Consider the following 22,806-nt stretch of genomic DNA (forward strand, 5'->3'; position numbering starts at 1 on the left):
TATACAGCCATAAAAAAAAACAAAATTATGCCCTTTGCAGCAAAATGAATCCAACTGAAGGCTATTATCCTAAGCAACTTAATGCAAAAACAGAACACCAAACACATGTCCTCACTTATAAGTGGGAGCTAAACATTTGGTACTCATGGACATACACATGACAACAGTAGAAACTGGGAACTACTAGAAGCGGGAGGGAGAGAGGGGGGAAAGTGCTGAAGAACCACCTATTGAGTGCTATACTCAGTACATGGGTGATGGGATCATCCATAACCCAGACCTCAGCATCATGTGATATACCCTTATAACAAACCTATACATGTACCCCCTAAATATAAAAGTTGAAAAAAAAAAGCCTTTTGTGAAAACCCCACAGAACACCATGCACATTACAGTACCATTTGGTAGACTATAAAATGCACATTAAAAAAAATTGGAGGTACAGACACCAAATTATTAACAGTAGATATCTTGGGGAGATATATATATATCTTGGGGATATATATATATATATATATATATAGAGAGAGAGAGAGAGAGAGAGAGAGAGAGAGGGAAAGAGTTATCTTTTATATTTTCCTTGGAGTTTTCTATGATTTATGTGTTAGTCACATATTCCTTTTATAAGCATCAAAGAGGGTCAATTTATTCATTTTCAGCTATTATATTGACAATTAAAAATTCTTCATGGATATATGGCTGTCTCTCCAAACTTTCAGAACTACACTAAAATGGGTGAATTTTACTCTATATCAAATATTTGAATGCAATTATGAATTCTGTGGCACCACACCAATACATAGCCGCATCATAAGCTTCTAATTTATTAAGAAACACTGCATTTACCATGATGTTGTGTTCCAAACTTGGTATTTATAATTTTACTGCAAAAAAATTATTTAATCTTTAATGTATGTAGAACTTTTTTAACTGAATTTTAAGAGCATTCACAATAATATCAGATATTTTCCTTTAACAGTATTTCTAAATTCTTTACTTTGGCTCTATGAATTGAATAGGGAAAAGAAGGTTTCAGGCCAGGCGCGGTGGCTCACGCCTGTAAACCCAGCACTTTGGGAGGCCGAGGCGGGAGGATCACGAGGTCAGGAGATCGAGACCATCCTGGCTAACACGGTGAAACCCCGTCTCTACTAAAAATACAAAAAAAAAAAAAAAACTAGCCAGGCACAGTGGCGGGCGCCTGTAGTCCCAGCCACTCGGGAGGCTGAGGCAGGAGAATGGCGTGAACCCAGGAGGTGGAGCTTGCAGTGAGCCGAGATCGCACCACTGCACTTCAGCCTGGGCAACAGAGTGAGATTCCGTCTCAAAAAAAAAATAAAATAAAATAAATTTTAAAAAAAAGAAGGTTTCATTAGGGTAGTTGACTAATTTCTAATTTTCTAATTTCCAACTGAAGCATCTAATAGCACAGATATAAAATTGGCATCATTTAACTATGTCTGAAGTTCTGCTAACAGGACCAAAATAGTAACAGTTTTCACTTTAGTTTTCAAATATGCACAAGAAAACTTGAATTTGAAAAAGAGCAAAATTAATTTAAAAGAAGACTCATTAGGTCTAAATACAATGCATGCTTCAAAGAGTAACATGTAGATACAGTTTCCGCAGCTGCTTGCTTGGAGTTAAATCATCCCTTTTGGCAACTCCTAAAAGAAACCATTCACTTTGGAAGTAGATGCCAATGCTTCTTCAGCAGGTATTGGTCTTCCGGTTTTCATGTAATCAGTGATATCACCATAGCTCCAATGCCAGATGGTGAATACCCACCAACATTTTGTAAAACATTAATAGAAAATCAATATTTAATTTATCCTTAAATCTGTACTTTTATTTCTTAAGCTCATTGCTGAAAAAATTGTGGGTTTTTTTTTTTTTTTTACAAAATAAAAATGCAGTACAGAAAAATAAAACGAATAGTCTTAGATTCACATCATAAAATAAATAAAACCATCCTCAGAAGGGTGTGTAACAGGGCCTGGGTTAGAGTGAGGTGGATGAGGCATTCTTTCAGGGACAAAATTTAAGTGGGCAGCAAAAATGGCAGTAATCAAGATAAACAGTGTTTAAGTGCAATATTTGTAAAAGATTAAAACTAATCCATGATGAAAAAAATACAGATTTTCTAATAAGGACGCCGTTACTTGTTTTAGGACCCTGCATTATTACGCAATGGGAACGTTGTTTTTAATTTGACCATGATTTCTCCACCTGCCCCCTGGGGCTATGGCATCCTCTGTGGACAAGTTTATGAAGGTTGTCAGTGGCAGGAAAACAGATTGAGAGCAACACAGGGCTTTATATAAAGTCTTTTTAAAAATTATACAGTTTATATTACATACTAAAAGCACTCAAAATAACACTTTCAGAAATCTAAAAATAATGACTATATTCCACACTAGTAGGCTTTTACTGCATATCAATTTAGTTGTTCTTTCTACTGATAAGAAATTATTTTTGACAGAGTAATATACATATTCTTAAATGAATATAAAAATATTTCTGCTATAAACAAAAATAGCAGATCCTCATCCCATGGTCTTTAAGGAATGTAAAAAAGAACAATTATAAATGTTAAAAATGTTCTTAGTAATAAAATTCAGTGCTATTTTCGATGAACATTTCTTGTACTAAAATTGTATTTGTGAAACACTGTCCTTAAAGCTGCCACTTAATTATATGTGAAATCTAATCAGGTCACTTATTTAAGGAAAGAGACTGCAGGATTCCATTAAACACTAAGCCAAAAGCAATTGACTTCTGGAGTTTATTTATTCTTCTATTTGTATAGGAAGTTATCTAGAAATATTACTTCAATTAGAGTTCTTTGTATTAGCTTTTCTCATTCTTTCAATGTTAAAATAAATATTTTTACATCTGAATAATTTAAATAATTTTTCCATAAGGCTGAATTACTGTTATTTTCCTATGGTCTATTTTTCTTGAGTTAAAACTATTGTTAGGTCCATTATGAGTAAAATATCAATAAGGAGATAAGAATAGCATAAAGCCATCATGTTCCACAGACTGTACAGATTAGATGCAAATTGACTCAGGGAGAGGAAAAAAAGCAGGTCTCCCAATCTTCATGTTATCTCTTCACCACACTTCCAAAAAAAACACTTGCAAATAACCTTAAATAATCAGTGGTTTTAGTAGGCGAGAGTTGCCCTTAAGGAAGTCAATGAAACCCCTCCTTTCATAATTGTTTTATTTTTCATTCTTGCATGATTAAACCATATGAAAAGAATACTTCAAGCTTGTTTAAAGCAGTACCCTTCAAATCTTGTCCCATCAGTTCTCTGGCAGTTCAATCAATGTTAGATAGCATCAAAAATCTATTTCCTGTCCCTGACAAGAGAGTCTATACGATTATCTGTTTTGAATGACAAATGCAAACTCCGTACTATCTCAAGTTGCCAACTGCACTTTTTTTTTTTAACCTCCATGCATTATTGGAACTACAGTCAAAGCCAAGTTCTTTTAATTACATAAAGCTTTAATTTTTAATTATGATTGAAAGATAGTGAAAAGGTAAGCCACCAAATCACCTCAAAGTCACTGAAATGCTCAGATTGTTTTCTGCTGGGTGTTTCCTTCATATTAACCAGTTGCAGCCACAGTCCTTTAAAATTAATTTCCTTCAAATGATCATCAAAAATGAAACAGAAGATGCCAGTGAGATTCTGGGGATGGCGTATCCACAAAATTGCCAGACACAGTTTATCAGGAAAAAAAAACCATAAATCTCAACAATCTTCTATTTCTTTTCAAGAAAAAAATTAAAATACAGAAACTCATCACTATCTTTTATAGAAACATCTCAAGGCATAAATATCTAAAATCCACATGGTAAATCAGAATCTCTGCTGGTCATCTCACTTCACTTTTATAACACTTTTTTTTGAAAATAAAAATAATTATTGTTAAAAGTTTTGGGGAAAAGCAGAACAAAAATAGCAATAACTAACAAATACTTAACCCTAGTATCAAGTAATGAAGTAACTGTATTAACTCACTTAATACTTGACACAATTCTTCATGTTTGGTACTGTTATTATCACCATTTATATAATGTAAAAACTGATATAGAAAGTAGCATGTGTGGGACTCAAACTCAAACAACCTGGCTCCAGGATTCACACAGAATTAAAAGTTAAAATTTACCCACAATAGGCCAGGGTGCGATGGCTCACGCCTGTAATCCCAGCACTTCGGGAGGCCAAGGCGGGCAGATCATGAGGTCAGGAGATCAAGACCATCCTGGCTAACATGGTGAAACCCCATCTCTACTAAACATACAAAAAAAAATTAGCCGGGCGTGGTGGCGGATGCCTGAAGTCCTAGCTACTCAGGAGGCTGAGGCAGGAGAATGGCCTGAACCCGGGAGGTGGAGCTTGCAGTGAGCCAAGATTGCGCCACTGCACTCCAGCCTGAGCAACAGAGCGAGACTCCGTCTCAAAAAAAAAAAAAAAAGAAAAAAAAATTTACCCACAATAGCACACCTCAGAGACCAAACTTTATGTATTCTCTCTCCCCCATTTATTCTTCTCAGTGAATTTTCAAACAAATTTATGATGGTTCCAAAAAATGCACAATTGAAATGTCAATTTTATAGGGAAAATTAGGCAAAAAAACACACCAAACATGTTTTGTTCCTTCATGAACTGATGCATAGTTATTATTACAACCTTTTTTTGTATGAAAATACTGGGGTTGAAATTTGCACTCTAAACTCATACATAAAGATAAACGTAGCTTTTTTATTGTTCTATATTCCACAAATCTACTAAAAGAGAAAAAAGATGAACTGCCAGTTAAAGGTAACTACATCTCATTTTGTTTAAGAAACAATCTCTTTTTTTGTAAATATTCACTAAACTCTAAGTTCATACACTATGCATCTATTTCTCTCCATTTTGGTTTTCTTTCCAGACCTTTTTCCTTTCCCAAGTTAGCGATTTTGCAGAGAGAAGCTTCTGTATCCTCAACCTCAAGGAATTAGAAAAGGAAACCAGTACCAAGAACTATCTCCTTGTGCCCTTCTCTCCCCACGGCCTCCATCTCTGAGCTTATAGATTGACCCTAAATGTCTGAATAACTTTGGTCAGGTCTACAAAGTATTGTATGGTTCCGTGGGAGCTCAGCCACCCCAAGGAATAATGCACCTCTCTCTGTAGTAACAGTCCCAGCAGAAACTGAGTTTGGCTGCCACTCTGGTTATCATCTCAGTTTAGGAGGGCCACCTTTTTTCTACAAGGTCCCTTTTTTCCTCTCTGAAGCAACATTTTCTACCCGAAGTCAATAATTGTCTTTCGTGGCTCCCTTCATGACCTCCATGGGAAAGAAGAGGGACAGATACTGGTAGCTTCAGAATATTCCATGATATCTACATAGTCTACGGGAATTAAATCGTGTTAAGTCAGTCCCAACAATCCATAGACTTCCATCTACAAGCCTGCACTGTGTTGGGTTTCTCTGGAGGGGTTTAGAAATTCTCTAAGAAGCACAGGTGATAGATTTTCACTGAAAATTTTCTATCAAACCCATCTGGTATTCCTGTAAGCGTGCAATTACTTACCCACTCCCCTTCAGAGAGTCATTCCTTTTGACAGAAGTAAAATGCTTAGGTCTTACACACATACATGCACACAGACTCAGCCACAAAATGACTTTCTATTTTATCTTCATGTCTGGTAGGAGTTGCTCCAGGTCAGTGACTCTCCAGCCTCAGGGAACATCAGAATCATCTGGAGGGCTTCTTAAAGCACAGATCACTGGACCCCATTCCCAGAGTTTCTAATCCAGTATGGCTGGGGCAGAGCCGGAGAATCTGCAGACTAACAAGCACGCACATTGATATGGGTGCTGCTGTTCTGGGGACTGTGCTTAGAGAACCAGGGCACTGGGCCTTGCTGCTCAAGGTGTAGTTCATGGCCAAATAGATGAGCATCACTGAGGCATGGTTTAGAAATTCAGAGTCTCAGAACCCACACAGACCTACAGAGCCAGAGCCTGCATTTAAACAAGATTTTCAAGTGAAGGCACATTGAAGTTGGAGAAGCACTGCTCTAGGTGATATTTTCTTCTTTTTTATTTTATGATCTTTGATACTACTCTCCCATGTCTGGACAATAAACTTCATGCTTTAGCCTATATGCAGACATAGCCTATATGCAGACTTTAGCCTATATGCAGACTTTGCTCCTAGATGAGCAAAGAGAAAATACATTTCAGAAACATAATTCCCAATTCATAAAATAAACCAATTTTCAGATTTTTGTTATTACATTTTTTTCTCCACAATTGACTATGAAATCTTGCTTTCCTATTTTAAGTGAACTAAGTTTGGTACAAACATGGAACCTCTGATATATTTTCTAATCTACTAAAAGTCTTATTTTACATATTTAAGTAAAGTTATTTAGTTTTCACTATATTGGTCTAGACTATATAGTTCTTATTTTTAGTTTGTTTTTTAGTTTGCCTCTTGGCTGGATCTTTTTCCATTATCTTCCATACAATATTGTTAGTATATGGTTATTGCTCTTTACAGCCATTGTTTTTATTGTTTCAACGGTCATTTTGAAACAAGCACTTAGCGAACAATCTTATCCATTCCAATGTATTGCATTCCTTATTCATAACTCATGTGTACTATTCCTAACAGAATTTTGGTTGTTTGTTTAATCAGTGCAGAATTTTAGAAAAGTGGGAATTTTTTTCTTTCAAGGAACTACCTTCAAGATGGAACGTTTCTATTCTTGTTCCTATGTTTTAATGTTACTTTCTGATTTTATTTTTATTATTGCTCTTCTGCCTCTTTTCAGGTAATGTCTTTAATTTATCTGGTACTAATGATATAACCATATTTTTGTTTGACTTATCCTGTCTTGTTTTTAAACATACTATATCTTTTGTTTTAAATATGGTCAAAGCATTGTAAACACTAGGCAGTGGAGTTTTTATCTGATTAATCAAATTTGAGACTTTCTGAAACTTTTATGATGGGATTTTAGTCCATTCACATTTATTATCAATGCTGCTAAACTTGGCATAATACTGTCATCTTGGTTTTTTGCTTTTTAAAAAATGTTTACTTGACATTTATTTTCTCCTTTAAAATTTTTAGTTTATTTTCCTTTAGCTATTCAGAAATTGTGTTCATTTATTTGAAATAGTTATTACTTTCCCTTTTTAAAACCACTTGAATCTAAATGTCCCTAATTATCAGTGTTAATAATGTAATCACATCTGTTAATTTGCACCTATGTTACAGAAGAAAATTAGCTCTTTTATTTCAAATCACTTCCTCATTTTGTCATATAATTGGAATTTTAGAGAATGTTATTTGTTTTAACTTGTGTTCCTTTAATAATTAAAAATAGAAAAATAAATCTTAGATATTAAAAAATAAACATTGATAATATTTATTCTGTTAATATCTATCAACAGATCTAACCAAAATTATAACAAAACTGGAAAATGGAGGAAGAATTGCACATGCTTATTATGGGGACAGTGGGACTGTAGGGACAGAAAGCTAAATTCACTTCATTCTATGAAAAATCAGTAGATAACTTCTGAAAATGAAAAAGTAGAAATAGCAATGTCCAAATACTACTTAGAGATGTAGATGCAAAAGCCAGAAAATAAATCAACTTAAAAATGTAAGTTGGGAATATAATATGAGAAAAGAGAAAAAGAACTTCAATATTTTATGACAAAAACTTGTAGGACCATTTCACTATTTAAACAAAGTACATTCATAACTTTAAAAAATAAAAATTAAATTTAAAAAATAAATTGCACAGGTTATTGCAGTACAAAGATAGCAAACTGGCACTGACTTCACTATATTTTCTTTTAGAGCATCTATATGTGCAATCCATTATTAACTATACAAAACAAATGCTTTCTAAAGTTTCTTCATGCTTTTTGGTAATAAATTTTAACTTAAAGAATACTCTATCTCCACCTTGAGTACTATCCTCACTTTTACTGACAAGTATTTCATAGGCATAATATTGCTGTTTGACTTTCTGCTTCCTCAGAAGTGATGAACGGAAGTCTTCTCTCCAAACCAAGAATTAAACCAGAGGCAGCATTCTTTAAGATTTCCCTCCTTTTCCACCTTGTTGTTTCAGAATTCTCCCAATAGATGTTAAGCCAAAAGTTTGGCCAATATAAGTTTATATCATTATTTCATATATCATTATGATAGATGCAGGAGGCAGATAAAGGAGGGTCCCCAGAGAATCTCCGACCTGCCCCACAAGTGTTTACATTAGATGATTTTTTGCAGATGAGGGAACCTGCCCAGGGTTTTGTCTGGGCATGCCCACAATGAACTGGGGTCCACCTGCACACTGGGAGAATGGGGTGGGCACCAGAAATTCATGCTTTATGCAGCAGGGAGGAGCCTGGCCCCTTCAGCTCCTGAGTGGTGTCCTGGTATTCAATCTGTGAGGCGGGAGCCTATTGGCAAGACCCCCTCTTTCTTTGCTGAGAGTTTCCTTTTCACCTAATAAACCCACCTCCTCACCCTTTAAAGTGTCCATGTGCCTAATTTTTCCTGGCTGTGAGACAAGTACCTGGATTTTAGCTAACCTAAGGAGCAAAAAAATCCTGCATCAATTATTTCAATAATTTGGCAGTCTGTGAGAAGAGGTGAGAATGTAGGCTCTGGGAATTACCAGCACTGGAAACTGATTTCAATACTATTTCTTCTCTAGTGATGCTTCTGACTGGCACTTTTCCTGATGCTGTCACCTATATTGTCAGAAATAAACCTCCATCTGCTGCTGACTTTCTCCTTATAGTGTTCAGTGGGAAAAACTTGGGTTTATTATGAACACTTTATTAATCTTTGTTTATCTACAGAGAAAAAGAATCTCCAAATGTCCTTCCAGATAATCTTCATTTACATATAGAGAAAAAGAATATCCAAATGTCCTTCCAGATAATCTTCATTTACATATAGAGAAAATGATTCCCCAAATTTGTTAAGTCATGCCTGACTCCTGCATCATTTTCAAAGCAGAGATAGTAAAGAGGAGCTGCTAAATAATACACATAGAGTTCCGTCTTAGTTAGCTCAGGCTGCTGGAGTAAAAATACCAGAAACTGGGTAGTTTAGACAACAAACACTTAATTCTTATAGTTCTGGAAGCTGGAAAGTCCAAGATCAAGGCCTGGTTTCTTGTCAGGAGGACCTGCTTCCTGACTTGCAGATATCTACCTTCTTGCTGTATCCTCTCAAGGGAGGGGTGAGGGTAAGCCCTCTTCTGTATCTTCTTATAAGGACACTAATCTCACCATAAGGGCTCCACCCTTGTCACTTATCCACCTCCCGCTCCAAGGTAGTATCTACAAATACCATCACAATGGGGAACAGGATTTCAATATATGAATTTTGAGGGGACACAAACATTCAGTCTATAAGAATTTCTTTCATTAAGGGGGATCTGAGTCCTCTCTGGCAAAAGTCAGTTATTTAATAGTATGCAGGGCTCTGAAAACCACTATTAATGAGTTACAAAGTAAAAAAGTATTAAGATATTAACAACTTATATGCCCTCATCCCTTCTCTGGCTTCTCAGAGGCAAACATTCTTACATTTGGGGTCACCTTCTGAGTTAATTTTATCATGCAAAATCTGTGTAAGAGAGTGAAGAGAAAATAAAACAAGAACAACAAAAAAGGCCAAAGAAAACATTAGCTAGAGAATCAGAAAAGATTCTCATGAATTGGTATCAAGGAAGCTTCTAGAATTAGAATTTGAGAGTGTAAAAGAGAGTTTTGAGGAATGACTGGCATCATTGGATAGGGTATAAAGACTGGTAGTTACAGGTAGGAGGAATTTTACATTAATAATTGTAACGGGCTGAATTGTGTTCTCCAAAAGATATGTGCATGTCCTAATCCCTGCGACTGTTACCTGATTTTGAAAAAGAGTCTTTGTAGATATAATTAAGTTAAGGATCTTGAGATAAGAAGACTATCTTGGATTACCTGGGTGGACTCTAAATGCCATCACAAGTGTCCTTATAAGAGAAAGGGAGTAAGAAATTACACAACACGCAGAAGGCAATGTGAAGATGCAGGCAGAGACTGGAGTAATTCATCCACAAGCCAAAGAATACCCGAAGCCACCAGAAGCTAGAAGAGTCAAAAAAAAGAAAAAAAAAATTCTCTTCTAGACCCCTCAGATGGAGTGCTGCTCTACTGACACCTTAATTTCAGATGTTTAGCCTCTATAACTGAGAGAATCAATTGCTGTAAGCTACCGAGTTAGTGGAAATTTGGTAAGGCAGACCCCCAAAATGAACACAATAATGCATTCTCAAAATCAATACAATAATATATTTGTTGACAATTTTCAAGGGATGTGGTAAGAATTTGAGGTATTTTTAATTATACTTTAGCTACCAACCCCTATTTCTTTAAATACGGTTTAAGGTTGGAGCCAAGTAAAGGGATTGAGTCATTGTACAGAATAACAACTAATATTAACTGAATGTTTCCAATATGCAGACACTTTTCTGGGCACTGTACATACATTAATTCTCTTTTTCACCAAAGAAAAATTTGAGGCTTAGGGGTTTTAGCAACTTACCCAAGATCACAGAGAAAGTGGTCATTAGTAGAACTATAATTGAAACCAAGGTCTTCTGAATTTGAAACCCAGTCTCTTAGTGGCACTACATTGCTTCTCATTTCAATTTGCAGCCGAGGGAGGAATTAGATGCTATGTGCCTGTGCTTTTCTTATCTAAGTGTCTTCCTCCCTTTTATCAATTAAAATATTAAAATTATATTTTAGTTCATATGAAAATTTATCTAAAGTTATCCACTGATATTGTATCAACACAACTTTGGAAAAATACAAATGTCTCTGCTACCTGGGGTCTCCAATGTTGGTATTAGAGGTACCCAGTCTGCTGTTTCCAACACCATGCTGTTCCCTAACTCTGAGAACCTTCCCCTTCTCCTCTTGACCAGATTACTCTTAAGAGTTACCTCTAGGATCTCCCTGGGACCCTCACTCATTAACTCTGCTTTTTACCTTCATAACACTTATGAAATCATTTTTTAGGATGACTATTGTCTAAACCAGAACATTTTTTGAAACTAAAAGAGGTATCTGTAGGTTAATTATACAAGGAAGTATGGTCACTCTAGCTATTTATTTAATGGGCTGGGTATGTTGTCCCTGTCTTTCCTTTGGAACTATAAGTACTGGAGGAGAGAGATATGATTTATTTCTGCTCTTCATTTTATCCCCAATGCCTGGAAGAGTGGCTGGCACTCAGTGAATACTCAATAAATACCTGATGAATGAATTCATATCAACCTTGATAATGTGAGAGAATTTTTTATATGGCGGCGAGAGGCATGATTGATATTCTTACAGTATATGGTAAAAATTATTTAAGATTCTTAAGTACCTATCCTGGAAAAATACTGGAATTATGAAGTGATTTACATTACTGAAAATTACCTAGGCCAAGGTATAATGAACATGTCCAAATCGGATTAACACCAACTTACATAAGGCTATTGTAGCACAATGAGGCAGGTACTTCTTTGCTTGGGCACAGCACAACCACAAACACTTGCTATGGCAAGTCAGACTTTCATCTCATCCAATTTGATCTTGTTCCTAGAGCCACAGGCTGAGTCACCTCTAATATGTAATCCAATTTATTGTAGCACTCTACACTGAGAATTCTGTTGCTCAGAATTCTGTAAAACATTAAAACACGTTTCGCACTTTCAGAAAAAAATATTAAAATGTTTAGAAGGCCATGGAGATTATCTTTAATCTACAATCTTGCTAAAAGAGCTAAAGCTCTTGCATGACTCTTAGTAAATTGGTACATAAAATGTTAAGTTCCTTGTCTGTAAGCCAGTACTTCCATAGAGCCCCCTACTATGTTACTTTGTCACCTTCGGAAAGACTTACTTTAGGTTTTTAAAATAAAAACAAATGACATCCAAGTTTCATTCTTAAAAAGAATGACTCCAATAGCCCTTTCTAATAAACTATTACTCAGAAGCAGATATAGATCGAATGCGTATCTTATCAAATAACTTCCAAAATTTTGCCTTCTTTACTTGTCTGAGCTGCTTGAAAGCATGATGGGCACCACATAAATAGATGTACAGATCATCTTGACTGCAGGCTTGTAATTGGGCCATTAATAAGAACTAAGTGGCAGTGTGCACTCTTCCTGAGAAAATATGATAAGGGTGGCACAGAAAATCTGGCATCTTTACAGTCCCATTACCGGCTCCAGAAAAAAGTCTTGGCTGAATTGAAGCAGAAAAACAATTTACCACATCACCAGTTGAAGCAGGATGTTCCAGCTCATCCAGTCTACTTACTGTACATTTTACTCTCTCCTCCAAGAGGCTTAGAAATCGTTCACGGTCAGATAACTAGTTATCCAAAGATAGACCCACAAGCACAATGTAGGCGAGGTAGATGCTTGTACTGATTTAGCTCCAGCCTATCATGGTTGAGCTGCTCAACCTCTAAGGAAGTAAAAAGATAAGGAATAAGCTCTATAGACCAGAAACTTAGTTTATACTTTAGAAGAGAGGGAACCTGAGACATGAAAATTTGTAATTAAATAAAGGATGCTCTCTCCATGTATCTCTCTCGCTCTCAAAATCTCTTTTCTCCTAAAACATAAATAAGTAAAATATATTATCTCTGAAAATTCAACATAAAATATTTATGGCATACATCTTTGTACATTGTTCTTTAGAAATACCTGTCCATGATATTATGAATTTAAAAAGATTACACATCTGTGTTGGATAACATACTTAATCCTAATAAAATTGAACAATGTTAGAGGTTAAATGTTGAAACAAAAGGAAGTAGAATCAAAACACTCGGTCTTTACTTGAAAGGCTCTCTGAAGAGGTTGATCAATGGAAAGATATTCAAGTATGGAAATCAATCCAGCTGTCAGGAGAGTTTTACTCTTGTCCTTTAGAAAAGGTTAATAAGAATTTATTATTAATGGGCCTGAACTTATGGCTCTAAATGAAATGTGAGTAACAGTAGTAAGCCAGATACATCATTTAAGAAGTAAAGTAATTGCATGGGGTTATTTCTGGGGCAGTAAATGACTTACCTCATCCTAGTGCAACACAGAAGTGAGAAGCACTTTCCTCACCAGATGAAAGACAGTCAAGTCATACTTTCTTGATGGTAGCCCTGAAGCACTCAGCTTCTCTACCACATTAGTGACCATCTGCACTCTGAGAGCAACAGACTGTCCCATGATGTGACCACTTTGATGTGTCATGGCCAGATGATAGGACATATTTTATTCATAGCCTGATCTTTCTCTAAACAACTTGTCTTAGTTTTGCTCACAAATTATATTTTTCTGAATACTCTGTATTAACACTAACATGGATTTGTAGAGTAAAAACAGTACATTACATGCTAATATCTAATCTTCTATTACTTCATTTCTTTCCAAATCATACGCCTTTAAAACCACACCATCATAGTGTCATCATCTGTAAGATTCTGTACTATTTAAGTTATACACCAGTTATATTGCTATTCACTTTAAGTAATCAGTATGGTGATTTCAGACTAAGGATTTGCTGATGAATATGAATTTTGTCTCTTCTTTATTCCCCAACTACACTTTTATAGAGTTATTCATCACAATTTTAACAGAGGGTATAACATCCTAGGAGAGAGATAGTCTTTGGAAGTTACAAATCAAATAATAAGCTCCTACAAACTTTTAAGCACTCTATTTAAAGAATTAACATCTACTAATATTAAATTATATTCTTCCCCACTGAGCTTCATCACTACTAAGGGAAAATAAAATTTAGAAAATAGCTTTTCTTAAATTAAAGAAAAAAAACTTTCTCCTTAGGACAGAAAGCATATGTGATTAATCTATTTTAACTTGCTTCTTCAGAAAGTCAATAAAGGATGAAAGTATTGATGTAAAGAAAGATGGCTGTAAGTGGTAGGACAGATCTCCTTTGCATTTAAAACCCATAGCACTTTCTAAAAACAGATATGTACATTTTAAAATATTATTTTATCATTTTGTGTACAGAATTACAAAGCAAGATTTTCATTCTTGATTAGTCAAAAAGTCAAGAGAGTGTAAGGCAATCTAATTTCCCATGCTTACATCAAGTCATATGGTGTATCTGATGTTGACTTCCCAAGGTCTTTAACAACAGTATAACTGCCTGCTGCCATCTCTAAGTAGGGACACCAAATCTAAGTGGTCACACATGCTATTATAAGGCAGAGCTGCTCTAGATTGCATGGCGGCCCTACTCAGCACTAAATTGCCTAAAAAACAAATTCTTTTTTTCTCAGCTTTATTAAGGTAATTGACTAACAAAAATGTATATATTTATGGTGTACAACGTGATTTTAATATATGTATACATTATGGAATGATTAAATCAAGTTAATTAACATATACATTACCTCCTTCACACACTTAACATTTTTTGTGGTAAGAACATTTAAGATCTACTCTCTCATTTCAAGTGTGCAACACATTATGATTAACTGTGATCACTATGCTGCACATTTTATCTCCAGAACCTATTCATCCTTTCTAACTGAAACTTTGTTCCATTTTACAAACGGGTGCCCCCAACAACCCCTCTTCCCAGTCTTTGGTAAACACCATTCCACTCTCTGTTTCTATAAGTTCAACTTTTTTAGATTCTACATATAAGTAAGATCATGCAGTATTTGTCTTTCGGTGTCTGGCTTATTTCACTTAGTATAATGTTCTCCAGATTCATCCATGTTGCCATAAACGACAAGATTTCCTTCTTTTTAAGGCTGAATAATATTTCTTTGTGTGTCTGTTACATACTTTCTTCATGCATTCATTTGTCAATAAACACTTAGGCTGATTCCATATCTTGGCCATTGTGAATAATGCTGCAATGAGCATAGGAATGCAGATTATCTCTTCAAAATACTGATTGCATTTCCTTTGGATATATACCAAAACTGGGATTGCTGGATCATATGGAAATTCTATTTTTAATTTTTTTAGGAACCTCCATACTGTTTTCCATAATGGCTTAACTAACTTACATTCCCACTAACAACGTACATGAGTTCACTGCCTAAAAAACTAATCTTAAAGAATATAATTAGAATGCTTGCCCAACTTTTTCAAAAGGACTATCAAAGCTTGCATCTCATCAAGCCTTACTTCTTTATTTGATTCAGTCATGACAAGAAGTCCAAATCTTTCAGATCATCCTTCATTCACAATCATATCTGCACACTCTCTAAACTGACCCAATTTTTGCCTTTCCCTTCCTTTCAAACTCTACCACTGGGCTACACTGTATTCTAAATATCTTCTCTAAGCTTCTCCTCACACTCATAACTGAAACCTATCTATGAAAACTTTATTTGCCTTTTAGCCTTGCCCTGAATTGTGACTCTTTTTCTTCCTCCCATATTTCCATGCTATGCCACCCAGATGGGCCCTCCTGGAAGTGTACTGCTTGTTGCTTTCTTCCCAGTAATTGGTATTTTATTCATAAAAGTTTGGGCATCCTTGCAGGGCATTCCATCAACCCTGCACCCCACAAACACTCACACACACTACTAGTCTCCCTTGTTGTGCTTCTGTAATTACTCCTGGTCACAAACACTCATTTGTGACCATTTTAGCACCTAGATTACTATCTTACTCTGCTTGTCATCATCCATATAAAATTACGTATTCAACTATTCACTTCTAGCACTCAAATATTCTACCCCGTCTCAGCTAACATTTTTCACTAATAAACGTACCACCCACAAAATGTATATTTCTAGCATCCCATTTTCTCACCAAAACTTCCTAACTTTCCAGTTGTTTTACTTTAGTACCCTCACAGCCATCTTTATCCCCAATGGTACTTCCAATCATATGACAATTCTTATTTGTATTAGTTTCCTATTGCTGCTATAATAAATTACCACAAACTTTGGAGTTAAAATAACATCCATTTGTTATTTTATAGTTTCTGTAGGTCAGAAGTCCAGGCACAGTATGGCTCAACTGGTTCTCTGCTTAGAGTCTCACAAGACCCAAATCAAGGTACTTGCTTTCCTAAAGGCTGTGGGGATGCTTCAACTTCCAAGCTCATTTAGGTTGCTGGCAGAATTCAGTTCCAAAAATTCCAAATGTAGTTCTAAGACTTGGGTCTGAGTTTCCTGCTGGCTGTTATCAGAGGTTGCTCTCAGCTTTTGAAATCCACCCATATTCACTGGCTTATGGTCTACTTTCTAATCTTCAAAGCTAGTAATTACAGATCAAGTCCTTGTATGCTTCAAATCTCTCTAACCTCCCTTCTGCCTCATCTCTCCTCTGCTTCCATCTAGAGAAGGTTCTCCACTTCGAAAGACTCATATGATTAGATTGTACCCACCCAGGTAATTCAGGAAAATCTCCCCATCCCAAAGTCTGTAACCTTAATCATACCTGCAAGATGCCTTTGCTACATAACATAACATATTCACAGTTCTGGAGATTAGGAGTTGGGTGTCTTTGGGAGGGCATTATTATGCCCACCACATCACTTTTTACTGCCCATAATTCCCCTGGTCTCCTCTTCTTTCACTTCTTACCCAGTTTAGATTTCATGAAATATCACAACAGTTCACCCTTCATAAAATTCCTCTTTCACTTTATCCCTTTCCTTCTATCTTATTTGTCTAGAAAAATCCTAATTCTGGCTAACAGCAACTTTACTCCAATTCTACACCTGTATCTAACAAACTGAGCATAAGTGGAGAAAAACATACCAGAATTAATAGCATAAATTGCATTTTAGTCCATGTATGCCAGCAACCCACTATGTATTTGTTGTAAATTCAGTATTCTACTCTTCAAGACAACTATTTCACATATTCTCCACTCTCCACAAACCTCCAAACTCTCCTCCCTAATTCCTTCTCAGCAGATGATCTTGTTTCCAATTTCACTGAAAAAAATTGAGGCAACTAAAAGGGAATTATCATCATATTACCATCATCATATGTAACCTACAGCCTACATGTTTTACTTCCCTACAGTTGATGAATTTTCTCTTCTCCTTCCCTTTTCTTATTTGAGGATGGCCCCTCCAACAGTAGGCCTCTCCACTCATCTATATCACACCAGTCATAATACCAGCCTGGTGTATAATCACTCATCTTAATGATACTTTCCCTTAATCACCCAATTTTTATTCCCATTTACAGAAAATTTTCTCAAAAGATAATTTTTTTTATTTTTTTACTTTTTCTGAGATGGGATCTCACTCTGTAACCCAGGTTGGAGTACAGTGTCGCAGTCTCAGCTCACTGCAACCTCCACCTCCCAGGCTCATCAATCCTCCCACCTCAGCCTCCTGAGTAGCTGGGACCACAGGTGAATGCGAACATGCCTGGCTAATTGTTTGTATTTTTAGTAGAGACAGGGTTTTGCCATGTTGCCCTGGCTGGTCTCAAACTCCCGAGTTCAAGCAATCTGCCTGCCTCGGCCTCCCAAAGTGCTGGGATTACAGGCGTGAGCCACCATGCCTAGGCTCAAATGAAAATTTCTGTACTTACTATCTCTTCATCTTTCTCTCTCAACTCACTGTAATCATGTTGTCCCCTCAAAAGAAAATTTCTATACCTGCTATCTCATCTTTACCTCCCTTAACTCACTGTAATCATGTTGTTGTCCCTTTTCTTTCATTGAAATCACTCTCTTCTTGATGACCAGTGACCTCTACCTCATTAAATCCAATGTTCAATTATTTGTTTCCACCATATCTCACCTCTTGGCAGGAGCTGACACTACTGACCGTCTTTTCTTTCTTGAAACATCTTGTTCATATGACTTCTAGGATATCGCTTCCCACAGTTTTTCTTGCAAAGCACACTTACCAATCCTCTTCATTCTCATGGTGTGGATTCTTTTCTTCTCAACATCAATTATTAGAGTGTCCCACATCTCAACAGTTTTGGGTATTCTCTACTATCTATAAAATAATTCTCTAATTAATCTCATTCAATCTCATGGTTTCAAGTAAGATCTAAATAAGATGACTCTCTAATTTCCAGTCCCATATTTTCCCTAGTTGAATAGTCAATCACCTCTTTCCCTCTCTACTTAGATCAAACTTAACAAAACTAAAACCAAACTCTTCATTTTATCCCTTACGACAGAGGCTACTAGTAGTTCCCAAATAACCATTATTTTTTTTCCTTTAGTAAAAGATCCTCAAATTTTCAAGAGGGCATATGGCTAGTTGGAATAAAGACTACATTTCTTCCTTGCAGTTAGACGTGGTTATGTTACTAAGGTTGCACCAATAGGATGTAAGTAAAAATATCATGTAAAACTTATAGAAGGTTCTGTGGGCAACTTCTGACCACACTAACCCATAAAAGATAGCACATTTCTCCCCAGATAGGAACTTTGTGACTGAATTATACTGCGTTATACCTGGAGGGCAAGTTATGCTTTGAACATGGTCTCTTGACTTGAACAGTCAAATGTTCCTTGACATGGTGGGAAAGTTGACTAATTTTTCATTCAATTATACCCCTTACCTCTCTTCAACCAGCAATAACACATTAATCTGAATCAAATATAAAGCACGTTCTGTTAAAAAATGAGATTTTAAGCAAAAATATAACCATAATTCCATTTATCATTCAGTGTCCCACCCATTCACTGTCAGCCTTCCATTTTGTAAACACCTCAGAGATTACCAAATGCAGAGCACTAGTTTGCGCACAGCAGCCCCTTACCTGAGTAAGTATACTGGAATAGCTAAGTAAGGAATGAAACCCACCAGACTTAGGAGTTCCAAGGGCATATACATATCCTTTCCATCTGTGAACTTAACTGTGAGGTAAGAGGCTAAACAATTCCTAGATACTCAAACAAGGTGTCATATATATTACTTCCACACGTATCTATAAATTGAACATTCCACATAACTCTTCTACATCTCTGGGGCACTGCTATAAACTGGATATCTTTCTTTACAGAACATATGAAGATGTAACTTGTCATGTTGGCTTTTTGCAGTAACAACTTTAGCAGTAGTATGGAATTCCACCATGTGCATTTCTATGTGCTGATCTCATCCTTCCCCTCATTATTTTGCTATGTTCTTATAGTGCTCATTCTCTCCATTACTTATTATATCTTTTTATGTGACTGTATTTTTGTGGAACACCTAAAATTCTTTGTGGAATAGTGCTGAGATAACTACACAAATAAAATTAAAATCTAGTGGCTGGAATGGGTAAATATGATTGCCAAAATACTTAGCAAGAAGTAGGGGCTTGAATTCAAGGCTGACAATCTATCTATAGGTGACAACTTGGCACTTCTTCACCACACAGAAAGGCTCCACTTTTCTTAAATTTTTTTTTTTTTTTTTTCCCAGACGCAGTCTCGCTCTGTTGCCCAGACTGGAGCGCAGTGGCGCGATATCGGCTCACTGCAAGCTCTGCCTCCCGGGTTCACGCCATTCTCCCGCCTCAGCCTCGGGAGTAGCTGGGACTACAGGCGCCCGCCAACTATGCCCAGCTAATTTTTTTTTGTATTTTTAGTAGAGACGGGGTTTCACCGTGTTAGCCAGGATGGTCTCAATCTCCTGACCTCGTGATCCGCCCGTCTCGGCCTCCCAAAGTCCCAGGATTACAGGCATGAGCCACCGCACCCGGCCTCTTAAAATATAATTGATTATTCATTATTATTTAATATTAATCTTTACCTTTTAAATGTGTTTTAAGACAGCTGACTGATTTCACCATTGTGACAGAGACCTGCTATCTGGAATAGGAACTTCATAAACCAACCACTCCTAAACCTTTCAGGCCATTGATAGTCATTTTCTCATATAGAAAAGCAAACAACCCTTGCCAAAGCCTTTCAGAAGTAAAGGCTGAAATTATTCAGAGAAGATGAGGCTCAGTTGGAACAAAATTGTCATAGAAAGAAATCAGGGAGGAGATGGAGGGAATCAGCTGGGAGGATATGAGGTGACACTGTCCCATTAGTTGTTAGATAAATGACAAAACATTATCGAAAAGAAACAATGTAATAAATGTTAGCATTCTGTTTCCCTTATACGCTTAGCTGTTGATAAGAGTGGGCATTTTACATCTTCAAGGGTGATTCTTAAACACCATTTGAATGAAAAGAAACGTGAGCAACTGAAAGGATTACCTGTGTCTGGGTTTCCCTGAAACCTAATATTATGAAGGAGAAAAGAAAAAGCAGAACTGCCATCCATCATTCTTTCCTTTTCATCTTTATATCACATTATCTAGCCACAATTTCCACACATTTCAAAGATTATGTATTAGTATTTTTATTCTTTTCAGATATTAGAAAGTCAAGCATGGGGTCTACATTTTGTACACACAATGTTAACTGATATAGAAGAGCAGTACAATCATGACCTCACTCGTATGGTAATTTTTTTACACAATACAGAAACTTCCCAGGGCAGCTCAAAATCCAGTAACTCAAAATAATTATGCAATGAAAATATAGCTTTAGGTGCATCATTTATTTCAAAAACAGAAAGCAGGACCTCAATCAATTTAATGCCTTAGGTAAGTGATTTAAAAAGATTAAGTCTTTAAGTGAAATTTCTCTGCCTGCCATAAACAGCAATTTATATCATGTGGTGGTTTTATATTATGTCAACTTAGCTAAGCTAAACTACATTTCCCGGAGTTCCCCATTCTGTATGTTTCCTGTGACAGATTCACTTGGGATGGCCCAAGTAAAGAGCAACCATTTTGTAGCTCTTCTACATCTTTGCTTATTACCTGACTCACCTTGTAGATGTGAGGCAGCAGCTGAGCCTGTAACTTCTGTGCCTTTCTCTGGATGCTCCATTAGCCTCTTTACTTCCTGGGCCAGGTGTGTGAGTTTAGGGCCCCAGCTTCTGCAGGACCCCCCCCATACTACCAAAATTGGAGACAAGAACTCATGTTTCAATCCATCTTCATGGTCTCTAGCTCACGTTTGTAAGTTTTAGTTTGCTCTTCATCAACCTTTCTTTATATCCATATTCCCTCACAACTGCCCGCCTTGTGGACTTCATACTCCAGGGTTAGGAAGACAAAGACCTTACAGAAATTTCTTAACCAGCTCTAACAATTCTGAAGGGTCAAATCTCTATAACAAACCCAAATCCCTTAATATATGCATACATATCTCCTAATGGTCTACTTTTCCAATTGAGCCTCGACTGATAAATCAGAATCTCAACCATATACCTTAACCTATAGTCACTGAAAACAAAAACTGTCTCTAATATCACAGGACATTATATAATATTAATAATCATATATAGGTCAGCTAGCTTGGAATAACCTCATTTATTTTCAGAGGCAAAGCACAACAGCAGGTACTTGTGATTCTGGACTACTTAACTGCCATATTTCCTCATTTTAAATCTTATACAGTGTCCCAATCCTAATGGTTTGGTGACCATTAAACTCCAACTTCCTGCATAACTTTGGACTGTAAAATCTTCCTCAATTTTAGGTCTCCTTTTCTCCTGTCTTGGTCGCATGGTGATCTCACCAGTACAGCTTCATTGTTCCTCCAAATAAAAAAGGGAAATTTATGCAGACTATCCATATAATAAGAAACTTCATGCTTTGGGATGAATACATATATAAATATTAAGGTATAAAACTTAAGATTTGCCCAGTGCACTATATCTAAATTATATTTTTTAAAGAGAATACCCACATCTTATGCTCCAGTAATGCTCACATTCTGTACTTTAAAAGAATGCTCTGCAACAGTGTCAGGACAAAAGGGTTAAGAGCACAGTTTTTCTTAAATTAGGTCTATCATTATGTTTGCTCATTATATCTGATACAAAGAAAATAACCATATCATTATCTTTTCCAAAAATCATGACATTATTGACTTCTTATAACATCAATGTGTGCTGATTATAAAAAAATTAAATTCAAGAAATTGTTTAAAAAGAAGAAATACTACCACTCAGCAATAATCAACAATTTGTGAAACTTTATTCTAGTTATCTCTCAAGGATTTCTGACATATATACTATATCAAGAGAAAAACAGCTAGCTAAATAACTTGATAGTGAGATAGATAAAACAATGTGTAACAATGATATTTTACCAGAGCTATATAAAAAGCACTGGATTTGCTTGAGTTCAAATCCCCACATTGTCGAGTAAACTAAGAAAGTTAAAAATCTTTCTGTGTCTCAGTTTTCTCATAAGTAAAATTGAGATAAAAATAGGGCCTTTCTTATACAGTTGTTGTAAGATTTAAATTAATTATTAGGTGTAAAGCCCATATTCAATAAGTGTTAATTATGTTGTAGATAAAGGTATTTTATTCTTAAGGCTTTTATGAAGGAAAAAACCTGAAATAATGGCTTAATGTTTCTTTAATGCTACTCCCTAAAGATCTCTATAATCAAGAAGAAAGATGTTAAAAGATACCAATATTTTGGACTTACTTTTGGTTATGTTTCTTTTTAGACAGTATTACTGATAGCTTGTTAATAAGAAAAAAAAAAAGATGTAAAGATAAGCAGTGATATATTTGTTAGTTATTTTATTTCATTTTACTTTATTTTATTTGAGATGGAGTCTTGCTGTTGTGGGCCCAGGCTGGAGTGCAATGGCGCGATATTGGCTCACTGCAACCTCCGCCTCCCAGGTTCCAGCAATTTTCCTGCCTCAGCCTCCCAAGTAGCTGAGGTTACA

At 36.0% G+C, this 22,806-nt stretch overlaps 1 long non-coding RNA gene across 1 annotated transcript in view, besides 1 other annotated feature; it reads right to left on the reverse strand.

Moving 5' to 3' along the window:
- The window catches only part of MGC4859 (uncharacterized LOC79150), a 330,125-nt gene that overhangs the window by 141,269 nt on the left and 166,050 nt on the right, over positions 1 to 22,806 (reverse strand). The gene's annotated exons all lie outside the window — the stretch shown is intronic.
- Positions 2,991 to 3,191: a silencer, noted in NCBI's record as "peak6383 fragment used in MPRA reporter construct". NCBI's record gives its function as "represses an SCP1 promoter by STARR-seq MPRAs in K562 erythroleukemia cells {active_cell/tissue: K562}" and the evidence as "EXISTENCE:reporter gene assay evidence [ECO:0000049][PMID:32103011]".

This window comes from Homo sapiens, chromosome 7, assembly GCF_000001405.40.
Source record: "Homo sapiens chromosome 7, GRCh38.p14 Primary Assembly".
Classification (NCBI taxonomy): Eukaryota; Metazoa; Chordata; class Mammalia; order Primates; family Hominidae; genus Homo; species Homo sapiens.